The sequence below is a fragment of the Homo sapiens genome, chromosome 6 (assembly GCF_000001405.40).
Source record: "Homo sapiens chromosome 6, GRCh38.p14 Primary Assembly".
In the NCBI taxonomy this organism is placed as follows: Eukaryota; Metazoa; Chordata; class Mammalia; order Primates; family Hominidae; genus Homo; species Homo sapiens.
Window position 1 is genome coordinate 108394591 of NC_000006.12, and position 17816 is coordinate 108412406.

At 38.1% G+C, this 17816-nt stretch overlaps 1 protein-coding gene across 12 annotated transcripts in view; it reads left to right on the top strand.

Annotated features, from left to right (window-relative positions):
• Positions 1 to 17816, top strand: part of AFG1L (AFG1 like ATPase) — a 230948-nt gene that overhangs the window by 99537 nt on the left and 113595 nt on the right. For 11 of the 12 annotated variants that reach the window (XR_007059229.1, NM_145315.5, NM_001323005.2 and 8 more), the window contains one exon: positions 7406 to 7464. The exons of the other annotated variant lie outside the window; for it this stretch is intronic. Coding sequence is in view for 10 of the 11 variants with exons in the window: in NM_145315.5 (NP_660358.2) it covers positions 7406 to 7464 (59 nt within the window). In the remaining variant the exon portion in view is untranslated. The remainder of the gene's footprint in view (positions 1 to 7405; positions 7465 to 17816) is intronic. 12 annotated transcript variants of the gene reach the window in all.

Below are 17816 nucleotides of genomic sequence, written 5' to 3' on the forward strand. Positions count from 1 at the left end.
GGTCTGGCTTCTTTTACTCTGCATACTTATTTTGAGATTAATCTATTTTGCTATGTGTATGATAGTCTATCCTTTTTATTGCTGAGTGGTATTTCATTGTACAGATATGGCACAATTTGTTTATCCATTCCCCTGATGATGGATATTTAGATTTCTTCATGTGTTTGGTTATCCCAAATAAAGCTGCAGTTTTTAGCTTATTTATGAACAAAGCTGATGTAAACATCGAGTATGATTTAAAAATTGTCTGATTTTCCATTTTTACCACTTCCCACAATCATGGCTATCAACTCTTAACATACACCAATGTTTTTATCCACCTTCCTCAGCAACTTGGCAATTAGGAAAGACTGAAAATATTTAACATTAAACCCATTTCCTGCATTTGAATCCTTTTACTCATTAGAGGTGTTTATTATAGGGAAGAAAAAAATCTCATTTTGAATCTTGAAATCTAAATAGCCTGGCCAGCATTATTTTACCTTTTATGACATTCCTAAATAAAATTTTTAAATATAACCAAATTGAAACCTGTAGTCTTTAATTACCCAAAGAGCTTATGCAAATACTTTGCTTACTATAATGATGTTGTGATGAATCTTTTCTAAAGAGAATAAATGTTTCCTAATGACCATATTTTATTTCCATAAGTATATGTGGCATTTGAAGTCTATCATAGTTATCGAATTTTCTCTAAACAAGGAAATATGGAAAAAATCCCATAATGCCATACTTTTTAAAAAAAATTGAGACACATAATCTGTGTTTTTTATTATTGAAAATTTTTTACTATTCCTTTTTTCTTTTCTTTTCTTTTTTTTTTTTTTTTTGAGACAGTGTCTCACTCTGCACCCAGGCTGGAGTGCAGTGGCACTATCATGACTCACTGCAGTCTCAACCTCTCAGGTTCAGGTGAGCCTCCCACCTCATCTTCCTGAGTAGCTGAAGCTACAGGCATGTACCACCACTCCAGGCTAATTTTTCTATTTTTTGTACAGACAGAGTTTCACCATGTTGCCCAGGCTGGTCTCAAACTCCTGGGCTCAAACAATCCACCCGCCTTGGCCTCCTAAAGTGCTGGAATTTACAAATGTGAGCCAGCGTGCTAGGTCTACTACTGTATCTATTTTCATAAAATTTTAAAAATCTCATAACTTTATAGAATGACCTTGAGGGAGGGAGGGAGATAGGTAGAGAGGGAGGGAGGGAGGGAAGGAGAGAGAGAGGGAGAGAGAGAGGGAGAGAGATAGAGAGAGAGAGAATGGAGTCTTGCTCTGTCACCCAGGCTGGTCACCCAGGCTGGAGAGCAGTGGCACTATCCAGCTCACTGCAACCTCGACATACAGGGTTCAAGCAATCCTCCTACCTCACCTTCCAAGTAGTTGGGCCCACAGGTGTGTGCCACCACACTTGGCTAGGTGTCTTTTTTTGTTTGTTTGTTTGTTTTTTGTTTTTTTGTTTTTTTTTTTGTAGAGATGGGGTTTCCCTATGTTGCCCAGGCTGATCTTGAACTCCTGGGCTCAAGTGATCCTCCCGACTTGGCCTCTCAAAGTGCTGAGATTACAGGCATGAGCCACCATGCACAACCTATAGAATGACTTTTAAAAGGAATGTTTATATGAAATAAAATTTCAACCTCCATTTTTTTAAGAAAAATATGAAGAGCTTAAAACTTGTCCCTTTTCATTTATTTGTTCTTGACAATACATATGTTTACATGTATGTGTGTATAAATATACCTACACTGTGACAGTTACGTATATTAAAAAACATCTTCCTAAGGCAATAAATACTACCTGTTTATGATATAATTGCATTATATTTACAGCTTATTAAGAGTTTTTAAGAAATAGTTTTAAAATTTTCTGTGGATACATAGTGGGTATATATCTTTTTTTTGTTTTGTTTTGTTTTTTTTGAGGCAGAGTCTCACTCTTTCGCTCAGGCTGGAGTGCAGTGGTGCAATCTTGGCTCACTGCAACCTCCACCTCCCGGGTTCAAGCTATTCTCCTACCTCAGCCTCCCAGGTAACTGGGATTACAGGTACTCGCCACCACCCCCAGCTAATTTTTGTATTTTTAGTTGAGATGGAGTTTCACCATGTTGGCCAGGCTGGTCTTGAACTCCTGACCTCAAATGATCCACCTGCCTCAGCCTCCCAAAGTGCTGGGATTACAGGCTTGAGCCACTGCACCCAGGCCATAGTAGGTGTATATCTTTATGAGGTATGTGAGATATTTTGGTACAGGTATGAGATTATTTGGTAATATTCACATCATGGAAAACTGGATATACCATCCTCTCAAGCACGTATCCTTTGTATTACAAACAATCCATTATACTCTATTAGTTATTTTAAATGTACAATTAAATTATTATTGAACTATAATAATTCTGTTGTGCTGTCAAATACTAGGCCTTTTTCATTCATTCTTTTTTGTTTTTGTTTGTTTTTTGAGACAAAGTCTTGCTCTGTTGCCCAGGCTGGAGGGCAGTGGCGTGGTCTCAGCTCACTGCAACCTCTGCCTCCCAGGTTCAAGCAATTCTCCTGCCTCAGCCTCCTGAGTAGCTGGGATTACAGGTGCACACCACCATGCCTGGCTAATTTTTTTTTGCAATCTCCACCTTCTGGGTTCAAGCGATTCTCCTGCCTCAGTCTCCCAAGTAGCTGGGATAACAGGCGTGTGCCACCACACCTGGCTGATTTTTGTATTTTTAGTAAAGACAGGATTTCACTATGTTGGCCAGGCTGGTCTCGAACTCCTGACCTCAGGTGATCCACGCCCCCTTGGCCTCCCAAAGTGCTGGGATTATAGGCGTGAGCCCTGGCTGATTTTTGTATTTTTAGTAGAGACGGGATTTCACCATGTTGGCCAGGCTGGTCTCAAACTCTTGACCTCAAGTGATCCGCCCACCTCGGCCTCCCAAAGTGCTGGGATTATAGGCATGAGCCATGACGCTCCGCCTTTTTTATTCTTTCTATTTTTTTTGTACCCATTATCCATCCCCACCTTCCCCCATCCCCCACTACCCTTCCCAGCCTCTGGTGACCATCCTTCTATTCTCTGTGAGTTTAATTGTTTTGACTTTCAGATACTACAAATAAGTGAGAATATGCGATGTTTGTCTTTCTGTGCCTGGCTCATTTCACTTAACCCAATGACCTCCAGTTTCATCCATGTTGTTGCAAGTTCCATTCTTTTTTATGGCAGAATAGTACTCCACTTTGTATAAATAACACATTTTCTTTATCCATTCATCTGTTGATGGACACTTAGGTTGCTTCAAAATCTTGGTTATTGTGAACAGTGCTGTAACAAACATGAGTGTGCTGATATATCTTTGATGTACTGATTTCCTTTCTTTTGGATATATACCCAGCAGTGAGATTGCTGGATCATGTAGTAGCTCTTTTTTTAGTGTTTTGAGGAACCTGCAAACTCATCTCCATAGTGGTTGTACTAATTTACATTCCCACCAATAGAGTATTGAGGGTTCCCTTTTCTCTGCGTCCTCAGCAGTGTTTGTTATTCCCTGTCTGTTTAAAAGCCATTTTAACTGGGGTGAGATGATACTTCATTGTAGTTTTGATTTGCATTTCTCTTATGATCAATGATGTTGAGCACTTTTTTGTTTGCCTGTTTGCTATTTGTATGTCTTCTTTTAAGAAATGTTTATTCAAATCTTTTGCCCATCTTTTAATCAGATTTATTAGATTTTTTCCCTATAGAGTTATTTGAGCTTCTTATATATTCTGGTTATTAATCCCTTGCCAGATGAGTAGTTTGCAAATATTTTCTCCCATTCTGTGGGTTGTCTCTTCACTTTGCCAGCTGTTTCCTTTGCTGTGCAGAAGCTTTTTAACCTGATGTGATCCCATTTGTTCATTTTTGCTTTGGTTGTCTGTGCTTGTGAAGTATGACTCAAGAAATTTTTGCTCAGACCAATGTCCTGGAGAGTTTCCCCAATGTTTTCTTACAGTAGTTTCATAATTTGAAGTCTTAAATTTAAGTCTTTATTTTTATTTTATTTTTCTATAAGGTGAGATAGGGGTCTAGTCTCATTCTTCTGCATATGGATATCCAGTTTTTCCAGCACTGTTTAATGAAGAGATGGTCTTTTCCCCAGTGTGTATTCTTGGCACCTTTGTCAAAAATGTGTTCACTGTAGGTATGTGGATTTGTTTCTGGGTTCTCTATTTTGTTCTGTTGGTCTATGTGTCTGTTTTTGTGCCAGTACCATGCTGTTTTTGTCTATAGCTTTGTAGTATAGTGTGAAGTCAGGTATTGTGATTTCTGCAGTTTTGTTATTTTTACTCAGGAGAGCTTTGGCTATTTTGGATCTTTTCTGATTCCATATAAATTTTAGGATTGCTTTTTCTATTTCTGTGAAGAATGGCATTGTGACTTTGGTGGGGATTGCATTGAATCTGTAGATTGCTTTGGATAGTATGAGCATTTTAACAATATTGATTCTTCCAATCTATGAATACGGAATAGCTTTCCATTTTTGTGTTTGTGCCCTCTTTAATTTCTTTCATCAGTGTTTTATAGTTTCTATTGCAAAGATCTGTCACTTCTTTTGTTTGTTTTTTTTTTTTTTTTTTTTTTTTTTTTGAGACGGAGTCTCACTCTGTCGCCAGGCTGGAGTGCAGTGGCAGAATCTCAACTCACTGCAACCTCCGCCTCCTGGGTTCAAGCGATTTCCCTGCCTCAGCCTCCTGAGTAGCTGGGACAACAGGTGCGTGCCACCACACCCCACTAATTTTTGTAGTTTTTGGAGAGACAGGGTTTCACCGTGTTGGCCAGGATGGTCTCGATCTCTTGACCTCATGATCTGCCTGCCTCGACCTCCCAAAGTGCTGGGATTACAGGCATGCACCACAGCGCCTGGCCATCTTTCACTTCTTTGGTTAATTCCTAGGTATTTGATTTTATTTGTGACTGTTGTAAATGGGATTATTTTTTAAATTTGTTTTTCATATTGTTTACTGCTGGCATATATAAATGCTACTGATTTTTGTTATGTTGATTTTGTGTCCTGCAACTTTACTGAATTTGTTTATCAGTTCTAATAGTTTTCCTTTTTTTTTTTTTTTTTTTAAAATACTGGGCATGGTGTCATGTGCCTATAGTCCCAGCTACTGGGGAGGCTGGGGTGGGGTGTGGAAGTATCTCTCTTTTTTTTTTTTTTTTTTTTTTTTTTTGAGATAAGGTCTCATTCTGTTGCCCAGGCTGGAGTGCAGTGGCAAGATCTTGGCCCACTGCAGCCTCTGCCTCCCAGGCTCAAGTGATCCTTCCACCTCAACTTCCTGAGTAGCTGGGGCTACAGGCACATGCCACCACGCCTGGCTAATTTTTGTATTTTTTGTGGAGATGGGATTTTGCCATGTTGCTCAGGCTGGTCCTGAACTCCTGGACTCAAGGGATCCACCTGGCTCGGCCTCCCAAAGTGCTAGGATTACAGGTGTGAGCCACTATGCCCAGCCCTCTTGGGAAATCTTTAGGTTTTTCCAAATATAAGCTCGTGTCACCTGCAAACAAGGATAATTTGACTGTTTCCTTTTCCTTTCCAATTTGGAAGCCCTTTATTTCTTTCTCATGTGATTGCTTTAGCTCAGACATCTAGTACTATGTTGAATAACAATGGTGAAAGTGGGCATAGTTTGTCATGTTCCAGATCTAAGAGAAAAGGCTTTCAGTTTTCCCCCATTTCGTATGATACTAGCTGTGGGTCTGTCATATATAGTTTTTATTATGTTGAGGTCCGTTATTTCTATACCTAGTTTTCTGAGGGTTTTTAGTATGAAGGGATATTGAGCTTTATCAGATAATTTTTCGGCATCAATTGAAATTATTATATGGTTTTTGTCCTTCAAAGAATGGAGTTTTAATTTTTAGGCAATTTCACTTAAAGTGACTTTTTAAAACCTTGATATCAAATATATAATATAATTTGCATTATATATTTATATAAATATATATTTATTATTATAATATATAATTTATATATTTATATATAATAATTTATATAAAATAATTTATATAAATTATAATTTATGTATAATATATATAATTTATATATTATATATTATATAATTATATATATATTATTATATATATTTAATATATATTATATATAATATATATTATATATGATATTATATATGTTATATATTTATAATATATGTTATATATAAAATTATATAATATATAATAAATATATATAATATATAAAATATATATTTATATATAATGCAAATATATATAATATATAAAATATATATTTATATATAATGCAAATATATATAATGCAAATACATGAGCAATTCTGTTGATGTATTTTCTAAAAAGGCTAACCTTATTACTCAATGTTTAATTCTTTTTTTCTTTTTTTTTGAGACAGTCTTGCTCTGTCACCCAGGCTGAAGTGCAGTGGTGTGATCTTGGCTAACTGTAACTTCCACCTCCCTGGTTCAAGTGATTCTCCTCCCTCACCCTCTGAGTAGTTGGGCTTACAGTTCCCAACACCATGCCTGGCTAATTTTTTTTTTTTTTTTTTTTGAGACGGAGTCTCGCTCTGTCGCCCAGGCCGGACTGCGGACTGCAGTGGCGCAATCTCGGCTCACTGCAAGCTCCGCTTCCCGGGTTCACGCCATTCTCCTGCCTCAGCCTCCCGAGTAGCTGGGACTAGAGGCGCCCGCCACCGCGCCCGGCTAATTTTTTGTATTTTTAGTAGAGACGGGGTTTCACCTTGTTAGCCAGGATGGTCTCGATCTCCTGACCTCATGATCCACCCGCCTCGGCCTCCCAAAGTGCTGGGATTACAGGCGTGAGCCACCGCGCCCGGCCGCCTGGCTAATTTTTGTATTTTTGTATTTCTAGTAGAGTTGGGGTTTCACCGTGTTGGCCAGGCTGATCTCGAACTCCTGACCTCAAGTGGCCTCCCCAAAGTGCTAGGATTACAGGCATGAGCTACTGAGCCCGTCCAAGTTCTTTACTAAGAATTTTCATTATAGATTGAGAAAAGGAGAGAATTTTTTTTATAGTAGAATTCTATATATTCAAGTATTAAATGCTTGATATCTAATCTTCTCATATTGGGTTATTGATTTTGAATTTTGGAAGTGATACTTTCCAAATTCTTTTATTGTCTCATTACAGTTTAAAACTAATTTGATTGAATACCTTTTGATCTTCTTTCTGTGGCTGTTAATTTTTTTCTTTTATTAAAATTATAATAAAATGTGTGTAGGACCCAAAGAGAAATCAATTTTGGTCTTTTTTTCTTTTTGCTCCTTTATCTTTTTTTTTAATCAGTAGAAAGCTTTATTTGCCAGGCTAAACGATAAATTAACATCATGATTTAGGCTAAGCAAAAAACTAATATCATTTTTTTCTTTCAGATCTCTATAAAAATGGACTCCAAAGAGCTAACTTTGTACCATTCATAGCAGTCTTGAAGGTAAAAACAAATCATTTATTTGTGTTTACTAAGATCATACTTATTGATAATCAAGGGCTTTAGTAGGATTGTCTTAGTCTTGGCATTCAAGCAGAATTTATTTTGGCATTTAGATAGTAATAGTCAGGGGCCGGGCACGGTGGCTCATGCCTTTAATCCCAGCACTTTGGGAGGCCAAGGTGGGCGGATCACAAGGTCAGGAGTTCAAGACCAACCTGACCAACATGGTGAAACCCCGTCTCTATTAAAGATACAAAAATTAGCTGGGTGTGGTGGCATGCACCTGTAATCCCAGCTACTTGGGGAGGCTGAGGCAGGAGAATCATTTGAACCCTGGAGGCGGAGGTTGCAGTGAGCCGAGATCACGCCACTACACTCTAGCCTGGGTGACAGGGCGAGACGCCGTCTCGAATAAAAAAAAAAAAAAAAAAAAAAAGGAGACTTGCCAGGGCAACACGGCAAAACCTCTTCTCTAGATAGTAACAGTCAAAGACACTAAAGGAGAAAAGAATCTTTTGATATAATATTCATCCATGTGTACACTGAAAAAATTACAAAATATAGTCTAAATTATTCTCTAACTGAAACATTGAATAGTTTGCATTTTATAAATTTTAAATTGAGGTATGCTCATAAATATTATAGTGGAATATTTAAACTTATACATTTATTTCTGAAAAAAATGTTTAATGTTCCCTGTTTCCTTCAGGTTAATGGCCATTATTAACATGTTTTCCCAGCTATTAAAGTTGCTATTCTAGAATAGCATTATTACAAAAATATTCTAATATATTTAAATGTGATTGCCATCAAGTTATGAAATTATGTCAAGTTGAGGCACATAAATTGTTTAAATATTTGTGTGTATCATCACTGCATAGAGTTTAAAATAGTCTTCATTACAATATGATTAAGAATAAAATAGCCTCCTTTTTTACTATTAATTTTAAGTAATATTTTACATGATTATTTAATGATTTCACATTCTGCCAATATTTATTAAGAACCTACTATGTACAATGTGTTGCATTAGGCATAATGGATAATAGAATTATGAACTAAGCTGTTTTTCTGGCACATTATTTATAATCTAGTTGAGGATGTAAAATATATAAAAAAATCCCTATAAGAGAAAGCAAAATTTGCCAAAATATAATTCCCATAATTTTAGATAAATACTTTCTCCCCATGCACATCAACAAATCTGAAGAAAGGATAAAGAATTTTTTAAAACTTGAAACCTTAAAAATTCTTACCCAAGAAGGGTTAAAATGTTTTACCTTCAGACATGCTAAAGACATAATCAGACAATCTTTTTGACGTGTACTTTGGTTGGAATTACTGTTCGTGCCAAACTTTATTCCCTATGCTATACTTAGGAGAATTCAAACATCTGTTTCCTTGACCAATTTTAGGTTCCCAAGGATTTTAATTTCTCAGAGATATTTATAGATGTAGGAAAAGTACTTTTGGAAGATTTATGCTGTTAGTAATTTTTTTCCCTTTATATTCATGCTTTGCATTTAGGGAGGACATAGACTTGCAACGTTTTCTCCATGCTAGGAATCCAAAGTAATATGGTATACACAGATACCAAAATATAAAGAGGAAGCTAGGAAAAATAGGTGCTAAAAATAGTGTCTTCATATAGCATAAAATACACAAAATATAAAAAGAGAAGTCTCAGAAAGAAACAAGTTAAGGGGTTCTGAGGGAACAACTTTGTAGCTGTACTTTTTTTTTTTTCCTCCAAATATTTTGTTGTTGTTTTCTTTGGCCAGTAATTAGTCATACTTCAATATATAATAGCAGTATTAATAGGCAAAATGAATAGTAACAATTTGAAAGTGAACATGAACTGAGAGATATAATATACAATTTAAAGTTGAACATGGACTGAACTTCCCAGGAAACTAAATACCAGATTAGATGAGAAAAGGTCTAAAATATCTAATTTATTCAAGAGACTTTTCGTATATGACAAAACATCAATGAAATGAAAACTAGAGCTGGTTTCTCTGAAGCTTTTCTGTTTGGGCATATAAAGTTTCTTTTGTAAGGAAAGGTAGTTTAATATTAACTTAAGTGACTTTTTGCCTCTTCACAGATGCTAGTGTTACTTCTTCATTCTGGCCTAGCTGAGAGAAAGGTATAGCAAAAGTCAATCTTAAAACAAATTGAGAATCTTAGTTTAATAAAAAGAAATTATTATAAACAAGATAGAAATTTGTTGAGGAAAAAGTATATTGTAAAATTCATTTTAAAAAATGTTCTTCTCTATAAACCAAATAGTTATAAGTTTGTAATTCACCACAGAAGCTTGTGGTTTGTTGCTTGGGATATTGAAAAATAACAAAAATGTATATAAGCTCTTAGTAAAGCCTGCTTTATGGCCCAACATGTGGACAATTTTTGTAAATATTTTCTTTAAAATATTTCTTCAAAATAGTGAGTACTCTTCGGTTGTTTTGTATTATTGTGTAGGTTTGTTAATTATGCTGTTCAAATCTTTATTCTCATATTTTTTTTCCTATCAATTACTGAGAGACTTAGGGGATACATCTCTCACTATAATTGTGAATTTGTCTATTTTTCTTGTAATTCTGTCATTTGCCTTACATATTTGGAGGCTATGTTATAAGTTGCATACAGATTTATAATAATTATTTTATTTATTTATTTATTTATTTTGAGACAGAGTCTTGCTCTGTCACCCAGGCTAGAGTGCAGTCGTACAATATTGGCTCACTGCAACCTCTGCCTCCCAGGTTCAAGCAATTTTCCTGCCTTAGCCTCCTGAGTAGCTGGGACTACAAGTGCACACACCACCACACCAGGCTAATTTTTGTATTTTTAGTAGAGATGGGGTTTCACCATGTTGGCCAGGCTGGTCTCAAACTCCTGACCTCAAGTGATCTGCCTGCCTTGGCCTCCCAAAGTGCTGGGAGTACAGGTGTTAGCCACCACACCTGGCCAGATTTACAGTAGTTAAATACTGCTTGTGAATGGAGCTTTTAAATATTATTGAGTAGCATTGCTCCTTTTCAAGTGTATTTGTAACCGTCTCTTGAAACATTGTTATCATGACTGCTTTAAAATCTTTATCAGATAATTCTAACGTCTCTGCCATCTTGATGTTGCCATTTCTTTACATTCAGTTTGAGGTCTTCCTGATTTTTGGTATAAGTGATTTACAATGGAAGCTGGCATTTTCATAATTTGTCATGAGACTTTGAATCTTAATGTTTTAACCAAATTTTTTATTGTGGCAAAATATACATAACAAAAATTACTATTTTAATACATTTTGAGACAGGGTCTCACGCTGTTGCCTAGGCTGGAGTGCAGTGGCACAATCATAGCTTACTGCAGCCTCAACCTCCCCAGGCTCAGGTGATCCTCCTGCCCCAGCCTCCTGAGTAGCTGGGACTATAGGCGTATTCCACCATGCCCAGCTAATTTTTGTATTTTTTGTAGAGACAGGGTTTCACTATGTTTCCCAGGCTGGTCTCAAACTCCTGAACTCAAGTGATTTGCCTGCCTCCACCTCCCAAAGTGTTGGGATTACAGGCAAGAGTCACCACACCTGGCCTATTTTAATGATTTTTAAGGGTACAGTTCAGTGGCATTAAGTGCATTCACATTGTTGTACAAGCACCACCATGATTCATCTCCAGCATTTTTCATCTTATCAAAATGAAACTCTGTACTCACTAAATGATAACCACCCATTGTCCCCCTTTCCCAACCCTGATTACCACCATTCTGCTGTCTGCCTCTGTGAATTTGTCTTTTCTAGATACTTCATGTAAGTGGAATTACCTACTATTTGTCTTTTTCTTTCTGGCTTATTTCACTTAGCACATTGTCTCCAAAGTTTATGCATGTTGTAACATGTGTCAGAATTCTAATCCTTTTTATGGCATAATAATATTCTATTGTAAGGATATGCCACATTTTGTTTATCCGTTCACCTGCCAATGGGCATTTGGGTTGTTTCTACCTTTCAGCTATTATGAATATTGCTGCTTCGAACATTTGTGTACAAATATCTGTTTGAGTCCCTGCTTTCAATTCTTTTGTGTACATACCCAGAACTTAAATTGCTACATCTTATGGTAATTATATGTTTAATTTCTTGAGGAACTGCCATACTGTTTTCCATAGCGGCTGTACCATATTACGTTCCCATCAGCAATACACAAGCATTCCAGTTTCTCTGCATTTTCCCCAACACTTATCACTTATTTTCTTTTTCCTTTTTTTTTTTTTTTGATAATAACCATCCCAGTGGGTGTGAAGTGATATCTCATTATGGCTTTGATTTGCATTTCCCAAATGATTAATGATATTGAGTAACTTTTCATGTGCTTATTTTATTGATTGACTGATTGATTGACTGAGATGGAGTCTTGCTCTGTCACACAGGCTGGAGTGCGGTGGCATGATCTTGGCTCACTGCAACATCTGCCTCCTGGGTTCAAGTGATTCTCATTCCTCAGCCTCCCGAGTAGCTGGGATTACAGGCACATGCCACCACACCCAGCTAATTTTTGTATTTTTGGTAGAGATGGGGTTTCACCATGTTGGCCAGGCTGGTCTCAAACTCCTGACCTCAGGTGATCCGCCCACCTCAGCCTCCCAAAATGCTGAGATTACAGGTGTGAGCCACTGTGCCTGGCCTTATCTTCTCTTTTTTCAAATTGGGCAACATCTCATTCTACAAAATAGATTGTTATTCTGTTTGTCTTTGTGGATCTTATTTGAACTTTCTGTTTTAGTTAGCTTTTTTTAGACATTATTCTGTCAAGAGAAGGGGAGGCACTGCTTGCTTCCTTTACTACCAGATATAGCTAGAAATCCAGGTTCCCTATTCAGCCTCCATTGACACCTGAGCTGTGGTTTGGGGTGTGCTCCTTGTTACCTGTTACTGCTGGAAAGAGGGTTCTGACTCCCATGTGATCTCCACTGATATCATTGTGGGAGGAGGATGCTCATTACTGGTTGGCTGGGATGAAAGTTCCAGTTCCTACTTGGCCTTCTGTGACATCACCCTGGCAGTGGTGTTGGGATTCCTCATGACAGCCTTATGAGGGTGGAATTCTAGGCTTCCCTTAGCCTTTGCCGGCATGGTTGGGGAGGTGGAGCTACAGTTTTTCTCTGTGGTATTTGCTTTAGTTAGAACAGTTATTGTCTAAAAGTTTTACGTTTTGTTAAGTTGCCCTTTTCCTGCTCCTTTGGCTAAAGAGAACAGACTTTTATGGGGGCCTCATTTGTATATTTCCATCGGCATTTCTGGGTTGCTGGCTTCTTTAGCTCTAAGTCTGGGATATATGAGTCAAAGATAAACCCTGTGGCTCACACTTGTAATCCCAGTGCTTTGGCAGGCCAACATGGGAGAATCGCTTGAGGCCAAGAGTTTGAGACCAGCCTGAGCAACATAGTGAGTGCCCATCTTTACAAAAAAGAATTTTTTTTAAATTAGCTAGGCATTGCGGTGTGTACCTGTCCTCCAAGCTACTTGGGAAGCTGAGGCAGGAGGCTCACACAAGGCCAGGAGGTAGAGGCTGCAGTGAGCCATCATTGTGTCACTGTACTCCAGCCTGGGCAACAAAGCAATACCCTGTCTCTGGAAATTAAAAAAAAAAAAAAATCAATCCCACAGGAGGGAACCTCACCATCTGTTGTTCTTCAGGTCTTGAACAGGTCTAGCTGTTTTTCCTTCTTTCTACTTTTCAGGGTCTCCTGATGTTTCTTTTATATATAATTTCCAGATTGTACATATGAGGAGGGATAGGGAAAAGTACATCTCCATCTTCCCAGAAGCAGAAGTCAGCTTATTTAAGGTCCTTGTCTGCTAATTCCATCATTTCTGGTTATGTTTCTATGGTTTGATTTTTTCCCCCTGGTTGTGAGTCCTATTTTCCTGCTTCTTTGCAAGTCAAGTAAGTTATGATTGGATGCTGCATTTAGTGATTATTACATTGAGTCTGTTACTTCCTTTAAGGGTGTCAAATTTTATTTTGGCAAGTGGTTAAGTTTCTTGCAGATCAGGTTGATCTTTTTGAGGCTTTTTTTTTTTTTTTCCCTGTGCAGGCGTCTCACTCTGTTGCCCAGGCTGGAGTGCAGTGGCGTGAGGCTTATTTTTAAACTTTGATAGGGTGAATGTAGATTAGCCATTATTCCAGGTCTGTTTTAGCCCTTCTAGGTGTTAGGTTTTAGGACCTTTCTAAGCTCTTTACTGAATCCCTGTGGTATTCATTGAGGTATTTCAGCTTTGACTATATCAGAATGCTTATATCTCCCAGATTATGTGTATTGTTCTTTGCCCAACTCTGCATATGCAATTTGTTATTCAGCCAAAGATTACATTCCCTATGCAGATATCTGGAGCTTTTCTTTTGCATAGCATTTTCCTGTGCTGAACTCTACTGTGCAAATTCCAACTGTTTCAGCATCCCAAAACTCTGAGGACTGTCTCTTCAACTCATTTAGATTGTTCTATTGCAGTCTAGAAATTGCCTCTAGATAGAAAGCCAGGGAATATGGCCAGCTTGCTTGCCTGATTTTTTTCCCTCATATCTCAGGGATTGCTGTCTTTTGCTACCTATTACGTAATGTCTGGTATCAGCTGGTTCACATGTTTTGTCCAGTGTTTTAGTTATTTATTACAGAAGGGCAAAATCCAGTTCCAATTACTCTGCCTTGGCCAAAAGCATAAATCTCTTTCTTAGTTTTTAGTTATAAAGGAAAAGAAGATCAGGTTTTTTTTCTTTTTTCTTTTTTTTTAGTAATTTAGGAACTTAGAGCCATATTTTATCATAGAAACAAAAAAATAAATAGGATAACAATAAAAAGACAGTTGTGGGCACAGGAATTTTGTTTCAGCTTTCTCTCACACATTTAGAGGAACAGTTAGGTAAATGATGATGCAGTCACATGAGGGGATATAACAGTTATACGGAATATTTTTCAAAAGCTTTCGATAATGTAGAATAATGCTTACAGATAACGTGAGTGGAAAAGTATGATGCAAGGGTACATCTATTCCTATCTCAACTGTGGAAATAATACACATGCATCAAAAAATACTGGAAAGAAATATCCCAAAATGTTAATAGAATATATTTCTGGATATTAAGATTATGAGTGATTTAAATTTTCTCTTTTAGACTTTTCTAAGATTTCTGGAATGATCTTGTATTATTTTTATAATGAAAACCATTTTTGAACAGGTGAATTTTGCTCACTCCTCTTTGGAAATCAGCAGACCTGACTAGGAGAACTCACAATCAAAGTTGAGAAATCAGCAAAAAGCAAAATGGATTGAACATGGGTCCTATCTGTAGAGACCATTATTACAAAAATAAATGGGATGGCAGGCACAGGGAGGAAGGAGCAGGAGCGGGGGGAGAGGCAGAGATGAACTAACAAGTAAAAGCACGTGATAGATATATTTTGGAGGAAGAACTACCTCAGGAAATGGGAGAATTTTTCAGGTAAAATTTTCTATATTCTAAGAGAAATTAAAGTAGTCATGGTACTGATGACATAAGAGATTAGACATGAAATAATTATAAGATTAGATGATAAGTGAGCTGGCAGAGCAGCTCTCAAATAAACTGAGAGCAGACCATTAAGAAAAGAAAAAGCATCTTAGAAAAAGCAGATGATAGAATCAACACTGCTGAAAATAAAATCAGTGATACAGAGCCCAAACTTATGAAAGATCATATAAAATGATGCTGGAATAATCAGACATGAAAACTACTGCAGAAAAAAATGCTAGATATGGAAAGCAGACAGCAGAGATCATACATTCACATAACTCATATTTCTAAAAAAGAAAACACAAAGATAAATCAGAAGAAAACTTTCATGAAAGAAAGTTAGGTTGAAAGTCTAGATTCAAAGTGTTCATTGTTTATTTCCTATTGTATGATCCCCCCATCAAGAATCATACATTTTTGGCTGGGCGCAGTGGCTCACACCTGTAATCCTAGCACTTTGGGAGGCCGAGGCAGGTGGATTACTTGAGGTCAGGATTTCGAAACCAGCCTGGCTAACATGGTGAAACCCCATCTCTACTAAAAATACAAAAAAATTAGCCAGCCATGAGGTGGGTGCCTGTAATCCCAGCTACTTGGAAGGCTAAGGCAGGAGAATAGCTTGAACCTGGGGGGCAGAGGTTGCAGTGAGCCAAGATTGTGCCACTGCACTCCAGCCTGGGCAAGAGCGAGACTCTGTCTTCCAAAAAAAAAAAGATCATAAATTTTTTGATGCACAACTGAACCTGAACCTGAAGGATTATAAAAAGAATCTTACAATCATATGGAAGAAAAATCATTGGGAAAAGAAGTCAAGCTGGTCTGAGGCTTGTAAACTGCAAGTAGATACTAGAAGAGAAGAGAAGAGTTTTTACTAAATTCAGTTTTTTAAAAATGTGACATCTGGTCAGCTAGGCTGTCATGTACCTCTACGCCCACAGATATATGTTTTGGATATATGATAATTTAGGATTTATAGTCCTTAGTGAAGTTTCCTGAATAAACAACTTTAAGATTTTATACCACCAGTCAAAATTAATAATATAAATGGAGATATTGTGGTAAGAAAATATTGGTGGTCATTGAATCTGACTAAACATTGTCTTCTTCCGATCTGTAAGTCAGACAATAAAAATTTTTATCATATTATGTGAGAACTTCTGTAATTGAGTTAACTAAAGGATGCTAAAAAATAAAGGGGCCCTAGGAGGTTGAAGATGGCCAAATAGGAACAGATCCAGTCTACAGCTCCCAGTGTAAGCAATGCAGAAGACGGGTGATTTCTGCCTTTCCAACTGAGGTATCGGGTTCATCTCACTGGGGCTTGTCAGACAGTGGGTGCAGTCCTTGGACCAGGGTGGGGCATTGCCTCACCCAGGAAGTGCAAGGGGTCAGGGAATTCCCTTTCCTAGCAAAGGGAAGCCATGACAGGCGGTACCTGGAAAATCGGGACACTCCCACCCAAATACTGCGCTTTTCCAACGGCCTTAGCAAACGGCACACCAGATTATATCCTGTGCCTGGCTTGGAGGGTCCCATGCCCATGGAGCCTTGCTCACTGCTAGCACAGCAGTCTGAGATTGAACTGCAAGGTGGCAGCGAGGCTGGGGGAGGGGCATCTGCCATTGCAGAGGCTTGAGTAGGTAAACAAAGCGTCCTGGAAGCTCGAACTGGGTGGAGCCCATCGCAGCTCAAGGAGGCCTACCTGCCTCTGTAGACTCCACCTCTGGGGGCAGGGCATAGCTGAATAAAAGGCAGCAGAAACTTCTGTATATTTAAAAGTCCCTGTCTGACAGCTTTCAAGAGAGTAGGGGTTCTCCCAGCACGGAGTTTGAGATCTGAGAATGGACAGACTGCCTCTCAAGTGGGTCTCTGACTCCCAGCCTAACTGGGAGACACCTCTCAGTAGGGCCCGACTGACACCTCATACAGCTGGGTGCCCCTCTGAGACGAAGCTTCCAGAGGAAGGATCAGGCAGCAACATTTTCCGTTCTGCAATATTTGCTGTTCTGCAGCCTCTGCTGCTGATACCCAGGCAAACAGGGTCTGGAGTGGACCTCCAGCAAACTCCAACAGACCTGCAGCTGAGAGTCCTGACTGTTAGAAGGAAAACTAACAAACAGAAAGGACATCCACACCAAAACCCCATCTGTATGTTGCCATCATCAAAGACCAAAGGTAGATAAAACCACAAAGATGGGGAGAAACCAGAGCAGAGAAGCTGAAAATGCTAAAAATCAGAGCGCCTCTTCTCCTCCAAAGGAACGCAGCTCCTCGCCAGCAACGGAACAAAGCTGGACAGAGAATGACTTTGATGACTTGAGAGAAGAAGCCTTCAGACAATCGGTAATAACAAAACTTCTCCAAGCTAAAGGAGGATGTTTGAACCCATCTCAAAGAAGCTAAAAACCTTGAAAAAAGATTAGATGAATGTCTAACTAGAAAAAACAGTTCAGAGAAGTCCTTAAATGACCTGATGGAGCTGAAAACCATGGCACGAGAACTATGTGATGCATGCACAAGCTTCAATGGCCGATTTGATCAAGTGGAAGAAAGGGTATCAGTGATTGAAGATCAAATGAATGAAATGAAGCCAGAAGAGAAGTTTAGAGAAAAAAGAGTAAAAAGCAACAAACAAAGCCTCCAAGAAATATGGGACTATGTGAAAAGACCAAATCTACATCTGATTGGTGTATCTGAAAGTGACGGGGAGAATGGAACCAAGTTGGAAAATACTCTTCAGGGTATTATCCAGGAGAACTTCCCAAACCTAGTGAGGCAGGCCAACATTCAAATTCAGGAAAT